Source organism: Homo sapiens, chromosome 10 (assembly GCF_000001405.40).
Source record: "Homo sapiens chromosome 10, GRCh38.p14 Primary Assembly".
NCBI lineage: Eukaryota > Metazoa > Chordata > Mammalia > Primates > Hominidae > Homo > Homo sapiens.
The window spans coordinates 121,007,526-121,030,825 of record NC_000010.11 but is presented as its reverse complement, the minus strand read 5'-3'; the positions used below and the strand labels follow the sequence as shown (position 1 = coordinate 121,030,825).

The 23,300-nt window shown below is 37.0% G+C and overlaps 1 long non-coding RNA gene across 1 annotated transcript in view, besides 2 other annotated features; it reads left to right on the top strand.

Moving 5' to 3' along the window:
• LOC105378521 (uncharacterized) overlaps window positions 1-23,300 on the top strand; it is a 78,111-nt gene that overhangs the window by 46,651 nt on the left and 8,160 nt on the right. The window lies entirely within an intron of this gene.
• Window positions 4,914-5,414: an enhancer, noted in NCBI's record as "H3K27ac hESC enhancer chr10:122784925-122785425 (GRCh37/hg19 assembly coordinates)". NCBI's record gives its function as "activates a minimal SCP1, AML or CMV promoter by ChIP-STARR-seq in primed H9 embryonic stem cells {active_cell/tissue: H9 hESC(primed)}" and the evidence as "EXISTENCE:reporter gene assay evidence [ECO:0000049][PMID:30033119]".
• Window positions 5,415-5,915: an enhancer, noted in NCBI's record as "H3K27ac hESC enhancer chr10:122784424-122784924 (GRCh37/hg19 assembly coordinates)". NCBI's record gives its function as "activates a minimal SCP1, AML or CMV promoter by ChIP-STARR-seq in primed H9 embryonic stem cells {active_cell/tissue: H9 hESC(primed)}" and the evidence as "EXISTENCE:reporter gene assay evidence [ECO:0000049][PMID:30033119]".

Below are 23,300 nucleotides of genomic sequence, written 5' to 3'. Positions count from 1 at the left end.
ACTGTATGAGAGTGTCTTGTTCGTTGTATTTTTGCCAACACTGAAAATTATTGAGTTTTTAAATCTTTGCAAATTTAATAGGAAAAACATAATACCGAATTCCAATTTGCCTGCCTTTGATTATTAACTATAAAAATTAAAACAGTGTGACACAGATTAATGGTACAGAATGAATAGTTTATAAAGAGAATTAAGTTATTGAAAAGGGGAGCATCACAAACAAGTGGGACGGGGGAGAGTAATTTTTCAGAACAAAGGAAGACAAAATGAGATCCACATCCCATGCCTTCTCCTAGTGTACTTGAATGTGAGTGTGCATTCTAATCACCCAGAGAGCTTCTGAAAACACAGACTGCTAGTGCCGGCCCCAGTTTCTAATTCACAGGACTGGGGTAGGGCCCAAGATTTTGCATTTCTAAGGAGGTGATGCTGTTGCTTGCTGGTCCAGGGACCACACTTTGAGAACCATTCCCTTGTACAACAAACTAGATCAATGAAAGGGGCAAGTGAGAAAAAGAAGCAAATTTGAACCTCTCTCAGTCCTTGACAGATGCTATATATGCATATTACATGTTACATTATCACATTAGAGAATGTATGTTCTTTTCAAGTACTTATGAAACAATTACAGATCTTAACTGTGTACTCAGCATAAAATCCATATCATTCCATGAAGGCAACCTCAACATAGCTTAAAATGTAGGAAGAGGAAAGATCACGTTTTCTGACCAAAATGCAATACAGCTAGAAATTAAGTAGAAACAAGCAAACGGTAACTTGCCAACCATTTGGGAAATATACCAGTCTCTTTAAAATACCTGTTTTGCTAAAACAACAATAACAAGACTACTGTACACTAAAATGTATGTGTTGAAGCTAAACTTGTCCTTAGGCAAAAACTTACATCTGTAAGTTCTGTCATTACTCAACAAAGAGTGAAATAGAATAAACACAAAACTCAATAATGTAGGAAAAGATTATCTAACCTAAAGCAAAAGGAAAGAATAAATATGAAATGTGAAATTGAGTTTAAACTGGAAAAGCCAAAAGCAATAGAATTGTTTAATTAATTCAAGATATTTAAAAAAATAAAATAAGAAAATAAATCATAACCTACCTTAGTCAAAAAAAGGAAAAAGGTGGGAAAATACAAATACCCAAAACTAGTCAAAAGAAAAGATAGATAACCACAGATGCAGGGAAAAGTTTTTAAAGTATTAAAGAAAACTTTGTAAAGCTGGGTATATACCCAAAGGATTATAAATCATGCTGCTATAAAGACACATGCACACGTATGTTTATTGAGGCACTATTCACAATAGCAAAGACTTGGAACCAAACCAAATGTCCAACAATGATAGACTGGATCAAGGAAATGTGGCACATATACACCATGAAATACTAGGCAGCCATAAAAAATGATGAGTTCATGTCCTTTGTAGGGACATGGATGAAGCTGGAAACCATCATTCTCAGCAAACTATCGCAAGGACAAAAAACCAAACACCGCGTGTTCTCACTCATAGGCGGGAATTGAACAATGAGAACACATGGACACTGGAAGGGAAACATCACACACCGGGGCCTGTTGTGGGGTGGGGGGAGGGGGGAGGGATAGCATTAGGAGATATACCTAATGTTAAATGACGAGTTAATGGGTGCAGCACACCAACATGGCACATGTATACATATGTAACTAACCTGCACATTGTTCACATGTACCCTAAAACTTAAAGTATATAAAGAAAAACTGTGCAAATAAATTTTAAAACTTGGGTGATATAGATAATTATTTTAGAAAAATAAGTTCTCTATATGAAGTAGAAATAGGAAACCTAAAATAGGCTATAAGATGATTGTGAAGAACCTTATCCTAAAAGTGGCCAGGCCCATATAGTCCACACAGATCAAACCATCAACGAATAGGTAACACAAGAATTATTTAAATTATTTTAGAACTCAGAGAAAAAAGAGCTACTCCTTTTTGCTTTTCTTGTTTTTATAAAGCCAGCAAAGTATTATAACAAAATCTATCAAAATTATACTAAAAAGAAAACTACAGCCATTTCATTTATAAACCCTAAACAAAATATTAGCAAATAGAACCAGCACTATCAGTGATCATTATAATCACGGTTACATAATGTCTGTCCAAGCCAGCACAATAAACCAAAATAAGTGGTGTAAATACTGGAAATGAGCAAACAAAATTGTCATTATTTGCAGATAAAATGATTATATGCCAGAGAAAATCCAAGACAATAAAACTGAGAAAGCTATTAGAAACTATATGAAACAGTGGTAATATGACTCTAGTTTCAAAATAAATGTACAAAGAAGCAATAACTTTCTTTCATACTAACAATAACCAGTAAGAAAATATAGTGAATAAAAATTCTACTCATAATAACAATTTATATATAGTAACCATAAGACGTGCTATATAGAGAAAACAACAAAATTCTATTCATGGGCAGAAAAAGAGTTTTGAGAAAATGGAGAGCTGTACCTTTTAGATATGCTCTCTTTACGAAGTGCAGGAAAATCATTGTTAGTTTTTGAACTACATTCTTTTATATTCTTCTATAGTCTAAAGGGAAGATAAGCTCTTTTTTTTTGCAGCCTGAGCTGGTTTTGTTTAGCCAAACAAATGATGAGCTGGTTAAGTATTGGAAAGATAAGTCCTCATGCCTTGGAAACTATAATGGACTAATTAAGAGAGTGAGATTTGACTAGAGTTGAAAAACAGGGAGGAGAAGGGACGAGATCAAAGTTAGGGGCCCAGCTGGGGCTTAAAGAGAGAGAGGGAACCTTCCTTTTGTAATAAGACAAGTAGAAGGAGTTTTAAGAATACACTTCCAATATTCAGTTTATAGTCATTTGTTGTGCTGTGTTTTTATGTAACCCATTTCCATAGCCTCCAAACCTTCGATGATAATTATAACAGCTCATATTTATTGAGCACCTACTTGCCAGACACTGCCCTGAGCACTTTAACTCTTTAACACTTTAACTTTCTACATTTAATTATCACAAAAATCCTATTTTCCTACCTTACAGATGAGGAATTAAGGCAGAGAGACATTAAGTAACTTGATCAAGTGCATAGCTTACAAGTGTGAAGTCAAGCTGTTGACCCAGACATTCTGACTCCAGGGCTCAGATTTGTAACACTACCCTGATGTTGCCTATCTACCATGCACATGGCCTTGAGTTAGTGCCAGTGAAAAGATCAGATGGTTTCCAGTGGAGTGTTGTGGACTGGAGAAAGGACAGATGTGCGGGGGTCAGAGCCAGACTGGAGATCAAGAATTCCATGGAAGCAGGAATATGGAACTGACTCCGGGAAAAATAAACACCAACCCCTTTGACTGCCGTGACACCCCAGAGAGCCTGGAAAGCGTGCTGAGACTTCTATCAGGTGTGACTTGGGATGTTGAAACAATTTTATTACATCTTAAAGTAAATGATTACTTCAACTGACTAGATAACTTAGATCCATCCCAGTAGTTGAAATATGGCTTTTAATGCATTAAAATGCTAATGCTCCCTAAATGAATAGAAAAGTAATGCAGGCATACCCAAATTCAAGTGAGATTTTTTTTGATTTGGCCAAACTTCAAAATTTTATTTAATGGAAAAAATTATACCAAGAAATAATTTTAAAAGACTTAAGAAGAACTTAACCTATGAAACAATAAAACCTATTATAAAGCTATACAAATTAACAAAGTGTGTATTTCAAATCAGAAAATTAGTCAATAGCTAATGTTTGAACAAAAAGCTAAACATTTGAAAAGAAATCTAAATTCCGGTATACAACTAACATCATATGGAATTTTAAATGAACCAAAGATGTAAATATTTTAAAAACCCACAAAAGTACTAGAAGAAAATATGGGTGAATAATCTTGGTGTGGCAAAGACCTTTCTAAGTTTTCCATAAACTCCACCTTGCCCTAACCACCAAAAAGGTGGAGGCTTAAATAGTTTAAACTTCAGAACTGGAGGAGAAGGCTGACTAAGCACTTGCAACTATCCCCAGTTCCACCAGAAATCTCATGAAATGTAGGAAAAAATATTTTAATAATAAAACTATAACTGGTATGAATAACAATGAGAAAAAGTGCCATCAGAGGACAAGAATTTTTTTTTAACTCCTGAAAGAATCGAAATGGATCAGATCAACACAGGGAAAAGAAAAAGCTTGCAGAAAACCCATGCCTCAGACATACGCAGGAGGAACATCTGTGGAAGGGGAAAGATTGGAAGATGCTGGGAGCCCAGAGGTCACAGATGTGAGAAGGGAAAGGGGAACCCCAGCTACTGCTTATGTGTGGTTAATTGAGGACTTAGTTTCAAGTATTTACATTCAGACAAAAGCAGTGAGTGGACAAGCGGTCCAGAGGAGCAGGGCAGTGTCCAGATGGCTATGGAACCTACCCAAAGGAGAGGGAGCGACTTCTCAGTAAAGATGGCAGATCAAACACCCACAGTTTCTTACTCTCCCTCCAAAACCCTTCTAAATGAACTGTAAAGAGATTTAATTTTTCTTAACACATAAACCCACAGGGACAAACAGACTGGGGAAAGGGCAACTGTAACAAAATTCTGGATTCTGGAAACAGATGGACCAATGGCAACTGACCCAAGAAAACTGACTCCTAAAGACGAAATGGGAAAAGGCAGGAAACAACCTGACTTACAGGGAAAAATGTGCCAGGCTTGGCAGTGTCAGGTACCTCTGGAAGGAGGGATGAAGGCAGCACAAAACACTGAGTATTTAAGAAGTGATTAGTTTCCTAGAGCCACTGCCACCATCGCTACGGCCATAGCAGAAATCTTGAGCTGTAGCTAGGATGGAATGTGGGGGAACACCAGAGAGAGTTGAGGGTTGGAGTGGCATTCCAGGAAGTTAAATAAACATTTACCTAAATGAATGAAAAATTGTAATCAGTCTCTAGAACTCTGGCGGGCAGAACTATTACCTCCAGGCAGAAGATGGAAGATCCTTCTCTAGAGAGTGTGAGTGGCCCAAGAGAAAAGACCTGAGCACCTTGCAAGAAACCTGTCACTTTCACACCTCATTCCCAGGCTCAGAGCTTCCAATCAACATCTTTTTCCTATTCCCAGAATAGTGCTCTATCTCTCCACTCCCTTCCTCCCCGGCAGCTCCCGGATGCCCCATCAGCTCCCTCCTTTGGAATCACGGACACTGGCCCAGGGGAACTGGCTTTTGGACCCCGAGAGCCTCCCTGCTCCCCTCCTTACACCCACTACCAGCTTGGCAGCAGGTAGCTGTGGGATTTACAGCTGTCTTTCCAGCCTTGGCTTCCGCCCTTGAAGGTGGGGGATGAGTCTGGCCCTGCTGCTGGCCAGTGCTGCTCCATGGGGAGTTCCCGCTGCCTCCCACTCTGCTGCTGAGCCACTTCCTAAAAACCCACAGAAGCTGAGGAGCTGCCAAGTCCTCCAGGAAAGGCTGAGGTACCTGGGCAGGCAGGGTGGCATGGTAGTTGTACACACACGCTTTCGGAGTCCTGGATCCAAATGTCAACATTGCCCTTCCAAGTCTCAGAACCTTGGACAAGTCACTCAGCGTCTCAGAGCCTCCGTTTCCCAGCTGTGAAACTGGGAAAATACTAGCACTGTCTCCCTGGGCTGATGACTGTGGAATGACATGATATTTGTCTGCAGCGCAGTGACTGGCCTATGTCAAGGCACTATAAATGTCTTCTTAAAATGATCAAAACCAAAATCTTAAGGCACACAATTAGACCAAAGCCACTGTTTAAATGGTATTGTGTGTGTGACTGTGGTTTTCAGTTGCTTTTCTCCAGTGACTAATGATCTCAGGGGCTTCCAGGGCCTTCTACTGAGTTTATGGGCTCTTTGTATATCTTCTTTTGAGCAGAGTCTGTTCAGGCCGTTGCTCAATTTTTTTTTCAAATTACTTACATTTCTCTTCATTAAGCATCTATGTCTCAAGTAGAATGTCATTGAGTAATGGTAGAATATATGAAATAAATAAAGTTGCTCAATTTCCATGCTACTGGGTTTCTGGACATCCAGAAAGTGTTATGAAAAAAGCAGAAGCAGTGGCAAGAACACATTATTCCATTTTTTAATTAGATTATTTGTCTTTTTATTACTGACTTGTAAGAATTCTTTATGTATTCTGGATCTAAATCCTTTGTCAGATATATTTATTGTGAATATTTTCTTCTAGTGTATATTTGCATTTTACTTATTAATGATGTTTTTCAAGGAGCTGAAGTTTTTTATTTTGAGGAAATTGATTTATTAACTTATTATGGTTTATGATTTTGGTGTCCTATTTAAGAAGTTTTTCCAAGATCAAAAAGATTTCCTTCTATGATTATAGCAGTTTTATTAAATAATTTTAGATTTTATTATTACATCGATGATCCACTTAAAGTTAGTTTTTGCATATGTGGGCAAGTAAAGGCTGAGGTTCATTCTGTTTTTCTGTATGGATATGTAGTTATTCCAGCATCTTTTTTTGCATAGACTATGCTTTCCCCCTTTGAATTACCTTGGCATTTTGTCAAAAATTAATTGACCCTGTATGTGTGGCTCAATTTCTGTATTAACTTTTTCATTTGTCAGTGTGTCTAACTAATACCACACTGTCTTAATTGCTGTGGCTTTATAGGAAGTTTTGAAATCAGGCTGTGTAGTCCTTCCAATTTGTTGCTCCGTTTCAAAGTTATGTTTTCCAATCAACTTTTTTTTTTTTTTTTTTTTTTGAGACAAAGTTTTGCTCTCATTGCCCAGGCTGGAGTGCAATGGCACAATCTCGGCTCACCGCAACCTCCGCCTCCCAGGTTCAAGCGATTCTCCTTCCTCAGCCTCCCAAGTAGCTGGGATTACAGGTGCATTCTACCACACCCAGCTAATTTTTGTATTTTTAGTAGAGACAGGGTTTTGCCATGTTGGCCAGGCTGGTCTCGAACTGCCGACCTCAGGTTATCCACCCACCTTTGCCTCCCAAAGCCAATCAACTTTTTTATGCCCCACTCTTAGTTATGGGAGGAAAACCAGGATCATCAGACATATAAGGAAAACCTGTAATGAAAAAGAAGTTGATCTCAAGAAGTAGAGAATAAAATGGTGGTTGTCAAAGGCTGGGGAAGGGAGGTAAGGGAGAATAAGGATGGGGAGAGGTTGGTAAACAGGTACAAAGTTACAGTCAGATAGCAGGAATAAGTTCTGGTGTTCTAGTGCAGTAGGGTGACTATGGTTAACAATATTGTACTGTATATTTCACAATAGCTAGAAGAGAGGATTTTGAATGTTCTCATCCCAAATAAATGATAAATCTATGAGGTGATGGATATGCTAAATATCCTGATTTGATTTTTACACAAGGTATACATGTATCAAAACATCACACTATATACTGCAAATATGTACAATTGTTATGTGCCAGTTTTCAAGTCAAAATAAAAAACAACAAAACAAATGAGAGGAAATAGAAAAAATTCAGGTAGAAGACTTCAAAAGTAACATTAATATCCCCAGAGACATGAGAAGATATTGAATCCATGAATGAAAAACAGGAAGAAATTTAAAAAGAATGTTCAGAAAATTAAAAGAGCTCTTGAATATTTACACACACACACACACACACACACACACAAATACACACACAAGGTTTCTGAAACCCAATAGAAAGGTTGGAAAATAAACTTGAGGAAATCTTCCAGAATGTAGAGCAAAAGGCAGGAGTATAGAAAATAGAAAAGAGATTAGAAAATTAAAGACTGGTTCAAAGAATTCATCATCCAAGTTTCAAAAACAGAAAATAAAAGCAAAGAAATTAAATATAAAATAATTCAAGGACATTCCTTATAATAAGGAATATAAATTTCTACATTGTCATGATTTCACAAGTCTCCAACACAATGGTTTAAAATAAGCCCAGACTGATTATTGTGAAATATCAGAACACAAAAAAAATATTCTCTAAGCTTTCAGAAGGGCAAGGAGAATGTTCCTGATAAAGGATCAGGAATCAGAATGGCTTCAGTCTTCCAAATAGCAACATTGGAAACAAGAAGGCAATGTAGCAACACCTTTAAAATCTTGAAGAAAAGCTATGTGCATCCTAAAATCCCATATTCAACCAAAATATCAAACAGATGTGATAATAGAATAAAGAGACTTTTGAGATCTCTGAGATTCCCCAACTATTGACCTGCCATGCATCCTTTCTCAGATACTTACTGGAAGATGTGCTTCACTAAAATGGAGAAGTAAACCAAAAAAAGAGGAATTTATGGGATACAGACAGTGGAATCCAACACAAGAAAGCAGCAAAGGGGATTTCGAGATACAGTTAGAGGGAGGTCCCAGTATGGCAACTGTGTACCGGACTGAAATGCAGCCAGTCCAGATTGGTATAGGTCAGGAGCTCTAGAGGAAATTTCTTCAAGATGAAATTGGTAAAATACCTGATGCATCCATTCATACTGAGGAGATCTTTAGATGGTAGGAAGTCTGGGGTCTGAATAATGATAACTTCTTAGAAGAGCAAACAGAGTATAAAAGAAAAAATTAACAGTAGTGGAAACAAAAGCCACAAAAGATAACAGCAATCATAGTGTACTACTGTTTATGGCTCAGTTGTGCATGGTATTTACACGGTCATAACAATGACAGCACCATATATTTAGCTAAGTAAAATGTAATGAAACCACATTTCAAACAGTGGGGAACAGAGAGGATGTGAGTATATTTGTTGTGTGCATTGTGTTGTGTGTAAATTATGGGACTATAGGTAGGGTGGGTTGAAAGAGAGATTAAGCCCTCATATTTTATAGTGTGAATTCTATAGGTACTGTAATGCCTGAAATTGTGGAGAAAATCAAGAAGTACCAATATAAGCAAGTTACGTAGAGATAAGGTGATAAATGCCGAAAGAATCATCTTAAAATAGTTGCCTCCTACTGGTCAAGAAGTCAAAGGGTGGGACACTGGGCACTGCTCTTTTTGTGACATGGCTTCTAGTCTTATTTGAGTCTTCAAACTATTATATAGATGTAATTTTGATAAAAGTTTAAACTCAAAAAGAACAGAGAACTTGTAAATTGAGATGAAAAGCTACTGGCAGCACATGTCCCTTAATACAATTTGCTCTTCAGTTGACCTGGCCTCCATCACCAGAGGCATGGTGCAGTTCGCAGAAAGAGCATGGAGAGACAGGGGCCTAGTGGATCACAGATACAAAACTTAAATTGCAACCAAGGAACCCATTGAAGAAAACCAATACCATGAAAGAGAAACCACAAACTCAATAACAAAAACGCTAAAAACTAAATAAATTGAGCTAATAGAACAAACAGAAGAAGACTTTTAAAAAATATGTAATATTCAGAGGAGTAAGAGAGGATATTACATCTCTAAAACAAGAACACACTATAGAATAAAACAATTGGAGCTCTTGGGAGTTAAACTATGATGATCATAATTAAAAGGTTTAACTGACATTTTAATCTTAAATAGTAAGCTGGAGGATCAAATGGAAGGACTTTTTTTTTTCAGAACACAGTTCAAAAGGACAAAGAGACAGAAGGCATGAGAAAGGAAAGAGTCTTTGAGGATAGATTCTTAAATCTCCAAAGGAGGTCCACTCTTTCTAATAAGAGACCCACAAAAGAGAGGACAAACTGAAAGGAGGAAATATTTTTATATTTCCCAGAGCTAGAGAAAGACATTAGTCTTCAGACTGAAAGGGCCCATTGATTTCTACTCATGCTATGGTTTCTCTAAAGATTTACATGGCACCTTAAACTCTTTGAAAGAATTGGCCCTATACCTACCCTATTTCTCCATATGTTTAAGTTGTAATTACTAAAATCTTTTATGAGTTCTCTTGTACATCTTCTGTCTCCTGGCCATCCTACTGTCCTCTCTTGTCTTGCTTCCTGACTTCATGTGTATAACTCTGAATTGCTGTGATTTGCCCCTTTGGCTTTGCCTTTCCAGTTACCACTACAGATTGAACAGCTGCAATTTCATGTCTTTGCATTTTAGTCTGTGCAAGGCACACTGATATGAGTTTGAGGAGAGACACATAACCAACAGGATGCTCTATCTAACTGTGTGCCTTTGCACTGGAATGTTCTTCTCGGATCTTAGAGTATCCATTACATGGATCATTTCTGCCAGTCTCTGATGTGCCTCATAGGAAATTATCATTGCCATCTCATGACTGTTGATTTGGCACATAGCAGGTAGGAGTTCATGTGAGTACATATGTACACACGCACCTCTGAAAAACAAGATGGTGTGAGTTGCATCTGCACAGTATACTCATTTCCAAATTCAAACCATACATTCAACTTCTTGCAGGATAGATTTGCTGTATGGGTTCAATACAGGTCCCAGAAGTGTGTTTGTTTGTTTGTTTGTTTATTTTTTTGGCCACCATAGCATTTTAAAAGGGTTTTAATTGGTTGTGGAAAACCAAGGCCAATTGCCTGTAAGACAATAGTAATGACTATTCCCTTTGATAGGGTATATGCTTATCCTAACCTTCATGCACCAACAGAAGTGGGAGCAAAGCAGTTCCAACTACATTTTCTTTATTGAGAATAGCAGCAAACTACCCCACACTCATCTACTCAAGATATTTATTAAGCATCTGCTATGCGTCAAGCACAATGCTTCTCAAAAGAGATGCAAAGATGGATAAGACCACAGGATATTTGAGCAGGAAGGAACTTAAGAGATCACCTTCATCTATTTCCTGATAGAGAAATCAAGGCTCAGAGCTGTCAAAAGCCCTACCCATGGTCAAATATCAAATTATGTTAATGCCAGAACGGAAAGCCAGTGCCCTTAACAGACTCAAATGTTGTTAAATGTGGTGTATTTCTTTGCACTTATTCTAGTCTTGTCTTTAAAAAGCACAGTGGGAAAAAAAGGCGAGCTGATATTATAAAGATAATGTAAAAAGTAAAAGTAAAAAGGTGGGGGCAATTTTTTAATAAATAGTACTTTGTATTACCTCAGTTCCTTGTAAAATGTCTTGTGGAGATTACTATTCTACTGCTGAAAAAGATATTCTATGTACATAGAGACTTGAGTATTTATTTCTTTCAAATTATAACTTTTTTAAAGGACAGGTGAAACTTTACAAACATCAAGGAACTCAATATCGAGGAAAAATTTGAATTCTTTATGGCCCCTTCTCACCACTTGGAAATAGAATACTCCTTCCAGTCCGAGGTTCCCTGGCTCAAGACACCTAGGGCCTCTGCCATGTGTCAAGTCCTTGATTCCTGAGCTCTCTCTTGAGTTACAGAAAACGAAGGAGTTTGTGGAGGTGGCAGCCACTCAAGGATCTAGGAGGTAAGGCTTCAGATTGTGGTAGAGCCCAGTCTACTAACTGGGTATTTGTGTTTCACAGGATAAAGAATTAATGTTAGTTTTCCTTATTCCTTTAACCATAACCTTTTCTTGCAGCCAGACCACTTTGCTCCTGTCCTTCAGAAACATCTTGTAAATCCTCACCTCCACCCCCAATCTTATTTCGCTGCTTCCCTTATTTCAGCCTCACTGGGTATTCATAGTTTCCTAAAGCCATCATGCACACTCATACCTTTCAGCCATTATGCATACTTATCCTTGCTAGTCTTCTTTGTTTGGTGTGGTGTCCCCTGACCCTCTACCTACAGGAAGACTTGATCTTTCCTCACTTTGTGCTTCCACAATGCAAGCTTCCTTCCAGATTACTTATAACACAGCATTCTGGAGTCTGCTGGTCTGTAACTATGCTGGTCTATAACTATAGACCAGAGTAGGAGCTTCTTGAAGCCAGGGACTATTTTATCAATTCTTTTGAATCTTCAGTACTGGCATATATAAAGTCTCATTTTTAAATAAATAAGAATATGATTAGCAAGAAATGAAAATATAGTCTAGAAGTTGTTCATAGGAATTTCCAGTTGACTTGTCTTCCAGTTGACTTCTTTTCTGAAAACTTTTCTGATTTCTAGGGGTCAATCATTAAATTTAAGAGGTATTTCTTACCCCAAATCATTGTCAATTTTCACAATTTCACTAATTTCCCATCATCAGAGCAAAAAGAGGAATTTACAGTTTTACTATCTAGCATCTGCCTCTCACTGGATTTTTTTTTGTTATGGCCTTTTAATTTTTATTCAACAACATTACTCAAGCAGTAGTAGGCAGAACATTGGAGAATATAAAACTAGCTTGAGAGAATGTTCAATTATGTTTTCATCTTGATTTTATTTCACATATGAATGTCTTTCAATATTGCTACTGGTCTCTGATTTAGGATTTCTGGTGGAATTCTAATGCATTCACTTTTAAAAAATACTGGTACATAGAATCACACAGTTTAAGACTTAGTGGGATATTTGAGTTTATCTAGTTCACAATCTTTATTTTGAAAGGAAACTGAGATGGAATGAGGTTAAGATTTGTCCAAAGTTATCTAGATAGTGAAATAACTAAATATAGAATCTGAACTTTGCAAATCACTATCCAGTTTCCTCCCTTTGGTTTTGGTCTTCTCTAGCTATTCTTTAATCAATGACATTTATTTTTAAGAGTAGTGTAAGTCCATAGCAAAACTGGGCAGAAAGTACAGAAGTTCCTATATATTCATTTCCCCCACACATGCATAACCTTCTCAGTATCAACATCCATACCACAGTGGTACATTTATACAATCAGTGAACCTACATTGACATGTCATTATCATCCAAAGTACATAGTTTATATTAGGGTTCACACTTAGTTTTGTACATTCTATGGGTTTTGACAAATGAATGGCATGTGTCCACCACTGTAGTGTCACACATATTAGTTTAACTGACCTAAAAACCTCTGTGCTCTGCCTATTCATCTTCCCTAACCACTGGCAACCACTCATCTTTTCACTGTCTCAATAGGTTTATCTGTTCTGTAATATCATATGGTTGGAATCATAGAGTATGTAGGCTTTCAGATTGGCTTCTTTCATTAGCAATATGCAATAATTATTACTTTGCATTATTGATTAAGTTTTCTCCATGTCTTTACATGGCTTGTTAGCTCATTCCTTTTTAGTGCAAAATAATATTTCATTGTTTAGATGTACCACAATTTACCCATTCACTTACTGAGGAACATTTTGGTTTTGACAGTTATGAATAAAGCTGCTATAAATATCCATGTGCAGGTTTTTGTGTGGGCATATGTTTTAAATTTACTTGGGAAAATACAAGGGAGTACAATCACTGGATTGTATGGTAAGAGTATTTTTAGTTTTCTTAGCAATTGCCAAGCTGTCTTCCAAAATGGCTATACCATTTATACATTCCAACCAACAGTGCATGAGAGTTCCTGTTGCTCCACATCCTCATCACATTTGGTGATGTCAATGTTCTGGATTTTGGCCATTCTAATCAATATGTAGTGGTATATCATTGTTGCTTTAATTTGCAATTCCCTGATGACATATGATGCTGAACAGCTTTTCATAAATTTACTTCCCATCTGAGTATCTTCTTTGGTAAGGTGTCTGTTCAGGTCTTTTGCCTATCATTTAATTGGTTTGTTCATTTTCTTCTTGGTAAGTTTTAGTTGTTCTTTGAATATTTTGGGTAGTATGCCTTTAACACATGTATCCTTTGCAAATATTTTGACCCTGTGGCTTGTCTTCTCATTCTCTTGACATTGTCTTTCACAGAAGTTTTTAATTTTAGTGAAGTCCAGCTTACCATGTATTTCTTTCAAGGATTGTGCCTTTGGTGTTGTGTCTAAAAAGTCATTGTCACACCCAAGGTCATCTAGATTTTCATCTATGTTATGTTTTAGGAGTTTCATAGTTTTGTTTTTAAATTTAGGCGTATATTTTATTTTGAGTTAATTTTTATAAGGGTGTAAGTTCTGTGTCTAGATTCATTATTTTTACATGTGGATATCCAATTGTTCTATCACGATTTGTTGAAAATTCTATCTTTGATCCATTGGTTTTCCTTTGCTTTTGGTCAACTGTATTTATATGGGCCTATTTCTGGATCATTTTTTTCTGCTTCATTGATTGTTTTGACTGTATTTATGTGGATCTATTTCCGGATCTTTTTTTATGTTTCATTGACTGGTTTACCTATTCTTTCACCAATAACACCCTGCCTTGACTACTAGTTTTACAAAAAGTCTTGAAGCCATGTAGTGTCAAAGCCATCTTTGTTCTCTTTCAATATTAAGTTGGCTATTCTGGGTCTTTTGCCTCTTCATATAAACTTTAGCACCAGTTTGTCAATATCCACAAAATAACTAGCTGCAATTTCAATTAGTATTGTGTTGAATCCACAGATAAAACTGGGAAGAACCAACATATCAAAAATATTAAGACTTCCTTTTCATGAACTGAACATCTCCCATTTATTTAATTCTTTGATATCTTTCATCAGAGTTTTGTGGTTTTCTTAATGTAGATCTTATACATATTTTGTTATATTTATACTTAAGTACTTTGCGGGATTGCTAATGTAAACAGTAATGTGTTTTTAATTTCAACTTCTACTTGTTCATTGCTGCTATATAGAAAAGTAATTGACTTTTGTACATTATCTTTGTACCCTGCAACCTTGCTATAACTACTTATTAGTTCCAGGAGTTTTTTTGTCCGTTCTTTTAAATTTTCTGCATAGATGATGATGTCATCTGCAAACAAAAATAGTTTTCTTTCTTCTTTCCTAATCTTTATACCTATTTCCTTTTCTTACCTTATTGCATTAGCTAGAATTTCCAGTATGATGTTGAAAAGCAGGGAAGAGGCAATATCCTTTTCTTGTTCCCGATCTTAGAGGGAAGTTTCTTGTCAGTGTTATTTATTAAGTTAAGGAAGGTTCCCTCTTCCTAGTTTGCTGAGGTTTTGTTTGTTTGTTTGTTTTGTTTTGTTTTGTTTTGTTTTGAGATGGAGTCTCGCTCTGGAGTCACTCCACCCAGGCTGGAGTGCAGTGGCGCAATCTCAACTCACTGCAAGCTCCACCTCCTGGGTTCACGCCATTCTCCTGCCTCAGCCTCCCAAGTAGCTGGGACTACAGGTGCCTGCCACCATGCCCGGCTAATTTTTTTGTATTTTTAGTAGAGACAGGGTTTCACTGTGTTAGCCAGGATGGTCTCTATCTCCTGACCTCATGATCTGCCCGCCTCGGCCTCCCAAAGTGCTGGGATTACAGGTGTGAGCCACCACACCCGGCCATGCTGAGTTTTTATTATAAATGGGTGTCAGGTTTTGTCAAATGCTTTTTCTGTATCTGTTGATATGATTGTGTGATTTTTTTCTTCTTCAGGATGTTCTGTGGTGAATTATGTTAATTGATTTTCAAATGTTGCACCAGCCTTGCATCTCTGAAATAAATCCCACTTGGTCATGGTGCACAATTCTTCGTATAAATATTTGGATTTGATTTTCTAATATTTTGTTAAAGGTTTTGCATCTGTGTTTTAGAGAGATACTGGTATGCAGTTTTCTTTTCTTGTAATGTCTTTGTCTGGTTTTGATATTAAGGTAATGCTGGGCTCACAGAATGAGTTAGGAAGTATTCTCTCTGCTTCCATCCTCTGAAAAATAATGTAGAGAATTAGTATAATTTCTTTCTTAAGTGTTTGGTAAAATTTACCAGTAACCCATCTGGGCCTGGTGCTTTATGTTTTAAAATGTTATTAATTATTGATTTAATTTATGTAACAGTAGCTCTAATCAGATTGTCTATTTTTCTTGTGTGAATTTTGTCAGATTTTGTCTTTCAAGGAATGCTGTGGTTTAGATTTTTGTACCCTTGTACTGTTGTATGAAATTTGATCTCCAGTATTGGAGGTAGGGCCTCATGGGAGGTGTTTGGATCATGGGGTTAGGTCCTTCATAAATAGATAAATGCCTTCCTTCAGGGGTGAGTGAGTTCTCCCTCTATTATTTCCTGTCAGATGGTTGTTAAAAAGAGCCTGGCAACTTTCCCCTCTCTCTTGCTTCCTCTTTCATCATGTGATCTCTGCATATGATCAATCTTGAACTTTCCAGCCATCAGAATGATAAGCCAAATAAATCTTTTCTTTTCTTTTTTTTAACAAATTACCAGTCTCTAGTATTCTGCTATAGCAACACAAAATAGACTGAGACAAAGGAATTACTTCATTTTACATAGGTTATCAAATTTGTGGATATAAAATTATTCATAATATTCCTTTATTATCCTATTAAGATCTATGAGATCTAAGGTGATGTCCCCTCTTTAATTTCTTTTGTATTTTATTATTATTTTTAAATTGTTATTTTATTTAAAGTTCCAGGATACATGTGAAGAATGTGCAGGTTTGTTACATAGGTAATGTTTATTATTATTATTATTTTTTTAGAGACAGGGTCTCACTCTGTTGCCAAGGCTGGAGTTCAATGGCATGATCATAGCTTACTGAAACTTGGAACTCCTGGGCTCAAGTGATCCTCCTGCCTCAGCCTCCCAAGTAGCTGGGACTACAGGCATGTGCCAGCATGCCCAACTTAATTTCTAATATGATTAATTTCTGTCTTCTTTATTTTATTCTTAGTTAGCTTAGCTAGAAATTTATTGATTTTATTGATCTTTTCAAAGAATGAGTTTTGGGTTTTGTTAACTTTCTCTGTTGATTTATTGTTTTCAATTTCATTGATTTCTGCTCTAGTTTTTAGTATTTCTTTTCTTCTGCTTATTGTGGATTTAATTTGTTCTTCATTTCATTTCCTAAGATGGAAGGTTAAATTATTATTAATCTCAGATTTTTCTTCTTTTCTGATATATACATTTAATGGCATTAATTTTCCTCTAAATGCTGCTTGTGGTACATCCCACAAGTTTTGCTAAGTTGTATTTTCTTTTTACTTACTTCAAAATGTTTTTTTAAATTTCTCATGCCATTTCTTCTTTGATCCATGTGTTATTTGAAAGTCTTGCTTCATCTCCAAGTATTTTGGGATTTTTTTAACTTTCCGTTATTGACTTGTAGTTTAATTCCACTGTTGACTGAAAGCAGAGATTGTATGATTTTTATTGCTTTATATACGTTAAGATGGGTTTTATGGCCCCAGAATGTGGTCTATCTCAGTGAAGGCCCCATGTGAGCTTAAGAAAATATATAATTTGCTGGTTTTAGATGAAGTAGTCTATAGCTTTCCATTATATCCAGTGTTTTGATGGTGGTATTATGTTTAGCTATGTCCTTACTGATTTTCTGCCTGCTGTATCTGTCCATTTCTGGTAGAGGAGTGTAGAAGTATGCAACTATAGTAATGGATTCATCTATTTCTCTTTATAGTTCAGTCATTTTTTGCCTCATGGAGTTTGACACTCTTTTTGTTAGGTACATACACATTAAAGATTGTTATGTCTTCCTGGAATATTGACCTTTTATCCCTATGTAATGCTCCTCTTTTTCCTGCTTGATTACTTTTCTTGTTCTAAAGTTGGGTCTGTCTGAAATTAATAAGCTGTTCTTACTTTCTTTTGATTAGTGTTAACATGGTATATCTTTTTCCATTCCTTTACTTTTAATATATATGTGTCTTCATAGCTAAAGTGGGTTTCTTGTAGACATGATATAGTTGAGTTTTGTTTTGGATTCACTCTGACAATCTCTGTCTTTTAATTGCTGTATTAGACACTGATATTTGAAATGATTATTGATATAGTTGAATTATCATCTACCATCTTTATTACTGTTTTCTATTTAGTGCCCTTTTTCTTCACTCCTTTTTTTGTCTTCTACACTTTTTTCTGCCTTTTGTAATTCTAATTGAACATTCCATATGATCCCATTTTCTTTCTTTTCTTAGTATGTCAGTTATGCTTCTTTTTTTTTTTTTTTATGGTTGCCCTAGAGTTTGCCCTATCCCTTTACAGCTAATCCAGGTCGACTTTCGAATAACACTATACCACTTCATAGGTAGTGTAAGTATCTTATAATAACAAAATATTCCTAATTCTTGCTTTCCATCTCTTGTATCATTGCTGTCATTCTTCTCACTTATACATAAGCATACATAGGAATATATATATTACATAACGTAAGCATACATAGGAATACATATTTATATAATGTAAGCATACATTATCGAGTAGATTGGTGATATTATTTTGAATAAACTGTTATCTGTTAGATCAATTAAGAATTAGAGGCTGAGATGGGAGGATCACCTGAGCTCAGGAGTTGGAGACCAGCCTGACCAATATGGAGAAACCCCATCTCTACTAAAAATACAAAATTAGCCAGGCATGGTGGCACATGCCTGTAATCCCAGCTACTTGGGAGGCTAAGGCAGGAGAATCACTTGAACCTGGGAGGCAGAGGTTGTGGTGAGCTGAGATTGCACCATTGCACTCCAGCCTGAGCAACAAGAGCAAAACTCCATCTCAAAAAAAAAAAAAAGAATTAGAAAAACAAAAGTTTTCATTTTACCTTCACTTAATTATTTTCTGATGCCCTTCCTTTATTCAGATCCCTGTTTCTGACTTATATCATTTCCCTTCTCTCTGAAGAATTCCTTTTAACATTTCCTGCAAGGCAGGTCTACTGGCAACAAATTCCCTCAATTTTTGTTTATCTAAGAAAGTCCTTATTTCTCCTTTACTATTGAATAATAATTTTGCAGGATGTAGAATTCTTAGTTGGTGAGTTTTTTCCTTCAACACTTTCAGTTACAATTAGGTTTTCCTATCCTTGCACTTGTTCACAGAGAAGTTTCTGCTTGTGGGTTTCTACTCTGATAAGTTGTGATTCTCTGTATCCACCTGCCTGTCTCTCCAATTTGGGCGACAGCTTTTTGCCCTGTGCACTTACTTTTCTGACAGATCTAAGATTCATTGACTTTTCTAGTTGTTTAGCTTTTTTACGTGTTAGTATCAGGTGGTTTATTCCAATCTCCTTACATGTTAGACTAGAAACCAGAAGTCTTTCATTGCATTTTCAGAGTAATAACTTTATTTAATTTAACCTTAATGACAATGGATTAAACGTGCAAATAGAAGAATACATGGAGTCTCTTATTTATCCTATGAGAAAGAGTGGTCATAATAATTCTCTTATTGTTACTGGGATCTGATTTTCTTTGCCATTTGGGCTACTAAGAACTTGTAAAGTAACAGAACTAAATATTGCTTCACTGAACTAGCTGGTTCAGTGAAGTACGCCAGGTTGTATAATCTATTTGTACTATTGCACAAAATCAGGCAATAATGAGGATATAATTTAGAACACAGCAAACCTCAGGCCAAAGTTATTAAGGTGAAGAGAGGCTATTCAGACTTTCCTCCCCACCACCATTCCTTTGCCCAACCAAGATAGTCCTATAATTGCCACCTCAGTGCAGGGCTGGTGTGAAGAAAAGCACAGAAGACCTATGGAGAGAGAGACGCTCCAGAAACCTAGCAGGTGGGTGGGTGCAGGGAGCTGGTGAGAGAAGAAATTGTTGCTGTAGACTGAATTTGGATCCCTGTCCCAGTTTTGAGGAGGCCTGGTAGGGTTTGGAATTCCTTTTTAATTACTTTTTTGGCCACAAGACTATGGCTTCTTGAATGCAATGCTGCCCTGACATTTAACTATGTGGGTCCTGGGATTTAGAAGGCTTGCAGAAACAACTCTGTTCTATAGCTGGGTTGGCTTGCACGGCTTATCTGCCTCAACATGCCTACTGAACGCTGTGCTAACATTTTCTTAAAGGAAGATAATTACTACAGGAATAAAAAAGAAAGTAGAAAATGACCTGTAATCTATAAAATAGTTTCTGAGGAGAAATATATTCCTGCCTGGCACAAATAAAAGGATTTTTATATTGTCGTGACTAGAAGAGAGTCAAGGCTACTTTTCAAAACTGTGAAAACCTCAAAGTTTTGCCTGGAGAAATTTCCTTTTGCAGGAGGATTTTGAAAACTTTGACTTTGATCTACTTTGTTTGATCCATGGGAAGTAATATTGGTAATATCTCAGGGTTCAGCAAAGTAACCCCATTAACTTGCCATGATCATGAAATGATTACTTCTGCTTAACAGAGGCATATTAAAAATAAGACAGAGCCTCCAGCTAAAGGCATTTCATGTGTCGTAAGTAGCCCCGTATGATGGACACATAACCATTCTCAATAAACCAAATAATCCGGCTTGTCTTTAGAAGTTCAAGCTGATAATAGTATGAGATGAGTCTTATACCATGCTTGGCAGGACTCTGGTGAGGGGTGCAGGCTCTAGGCCACCTCTACCCCCTCTTCCTCAACTGTACTTGCTCATTGCAGAACCTGTTTTATATCTTAGGTTAACATATAAGATGTCATTTGAACAAAGGATTCTGTGCACCCCCTGACCCTGCTGCAAGTGTTTGAAGGCCATGGAGTATTCATAGCTACAAATGGGCTTTGTTTTCAAACAACGTATAAGTCAGTTACTTGGAACTCAGAACACACTTCTACTCCAGTACAAATAATATTAAAGATTATAGGTAGGATCCTAAACTGGTCCACAGATGCCTGATTTGTAACCCAGTGTGTCCTGGAAAAGCAGGACAGCTACTGGAACTTCTACAGCGGGTGGGTATTTTAGAAGCAGGAGGTTCAGTATTGTTCTAATAAAGGTCAGAAAATATTAGTAATAACAAGGAAAATTACTTATTGAACACACCGTATGTGGCAGTCTCTCTTCTTTGTGGTTTATGAGTGCCATCTCATGTAGGATTAATTAAAGTTGACCCTACAGAACTGTGTGTCAGGCACTCTGCAGATTTTCTCGCTTAGACTTCTTAACAACCTATTTTACAAACAGAAAAACTAAGTCAGAGAAAATGATTAAGTTGCTTTCATTTGCTCACATTTTGATCAGATTTTCTGATATCTGGCAGAGTGATTTCTTTCAAGTCATTGGTCCCATCTGGTCCTGATACCTACAGAAGTGCACTTGTGGCCACAGTGGGAGAGGTCATAGGCCAGAGGGTGTGACAAACTGGGCAGCAAGTCAGCAGGACCAGGGGAGAGAACAAGTTTGTAACCTGAGTCTCCACTCATCACCTGTGGGACTCCAGCACATTGAGTTAACTCTCTCAGCCCTGTTGTCCTCATCTGTTTACAGGCATAGTCATAGGATCCACTTCATGGGGTTTCAGTAAGGATTAAGTGGGAACCCATTAAATGTCTGAGCAAAGTGTCAGGTGCCCAGTAGCTGTAACTCATATCTGTTCCATGTTCCCCTGAGTCACTGAACTAAAAGCCAAATGTCTTACTTCTGACTACCATGGACTCCTGACCCACATAAGACTTCAGGTATTTCTGGCAATGTCTAGGGAGACCCAATTATATAATCAAACATTACAATGAGAGAATCCTGTGGTACCCGGGATAATAAAAATGGTAGGTGGCAGACATCTTACCTCAGATTCAGCTCCGTGATAGTATTATTAGCCCTGTACACCTTGAACCTTCTCAGTCTTTTCTAGAAAGGTCTAGAAACTTCTGAAAGAAGTGAGCTGGACCTTGAAGCAAACAATACAGGAGAGGGACAGCCCCTCAGGCTTTCCCAGTGAAAAGTCTGAAAGAAGATGGCAGATGCAGAGGCCCAGGTATGGTGTCTGGGTCACAGTGCCAGTACTCCAGAATTCCCAGCCAATGTACTTCAGAGCCAGGGAAAAATGCTGGCCATGAAGGGCCTGCAGCCACGATGCTTCAGATTTGCTCTTGGCCATGGGGCTTCCCCATTATTTACCTATATTTTCCTTTATTTAAATGTTGTGAGTTTTAAATATTTTAAAAGTGGAGGAGAGGGAAGGCTTACCTTTAAAATGAAAACTGGTTTGTGAACCCATGAAGGAAAATGTTAGAAATGGATAGAGACCTGCCTGGGCAGAGAAGTAGCTCCTCAACATAATTGGGTGGAATTCTCCAAACACTTCAGGCTACAGGAGAGAAAACAGGGCAGAAGGGCTAAGGACAACCCAGTTTTTGAAAAAAGAAAGTATATGTACATATGAACATAAGTTTATCATAAATTGAACTGACATAAAGAATTACAGGCCAGGTGCCGTGGCTCACACCTGTAATCCCAGCACTTTGGGAGGCCGAGGTGGGTGGATCACTTGAGGCCAGGAGTTTGAGACCAGCCTTACCATCATGGCAAAACCCCATCTCTACTAAAAATACAAAAATTAGCTGGGCAGGAAAATCACTTGAACCTGGGAGGTGGAGGTTGCAGTGAGCCAAGATCATGCCACTGTACTCCAGCCTGGGTGAAAGAGCCAGACTCTGTCTCACAAAAAAAAAAAAAAAAAAAAAGAATTGCAGCACAGAATTTATAAACAATAAAAATATCCAATAATCTTAATTGAAAATTCTATATACCTATATAAAGTCATATCTTCAGTGTGACTTCCTATTTCATGGAAAATTTATGGTTTTTATAATTTGCAACTCCATACTGTGACAAAATCAGACTATGAATAAATGCCTGATGACTATTTTAATGAGCAAAATCAGTCACATCATTGAAAAATTCCAATGAATGTACAACTAATGAATGTTGATTGGTTGGTATTTTCATGAGACAAAAATGAAATAGTTAAGATATATGTTGAAACTTCACTCAGTGATGTGAGCAACTTCTTTGCTGAATCCGATAATAGTTGTCTAATGCTAGAAAACTGCTATATAGGACACACTTTTAAGTTTAATTATATAATTTAATTATATTATTAGATTTTTCTCAACACTTTGTTAAATTCAGACAATAAACAAAACAACTTACACCAATTCCTGTGGTATAAATACTCCCATCATGGCCATTTGTAACTATTAAGTTCATGTCACTGAATGCAGAATTGGGAAGAGATGCACAGTACCACTGTTACATATACCACTGTACATATACCATTGTTAAATACTATACAGATACAATAGATGTAAATTTCCTCCAGAACATAAATAATAGGAGTAAAATACTTAGGAAGTAATGAGTTTTGAGTATTTATGACCTTTGACTTTAATAAAATATAGTATGATTTATTTAATTGTATGTCTAACTTAATTTTTAATATAGCTTTGTTTAGCCAGCTCACAAAATCCTTGAAAGCTTAGCAATCAGTGACAAGGTAGTGGACCATGTTCCTGCTTGCTCAGGCTGTGGATCTGGGGTAGCCTCCTTACCCCCACCATGGAGACCTTGGTGCATTTCACCGGGAGCTCCCCCACCACCCCCATCAGGGCTAGTGCTTTTGCTCACCATTGGAGTATCCAAGTGGTAGGCTTGGCA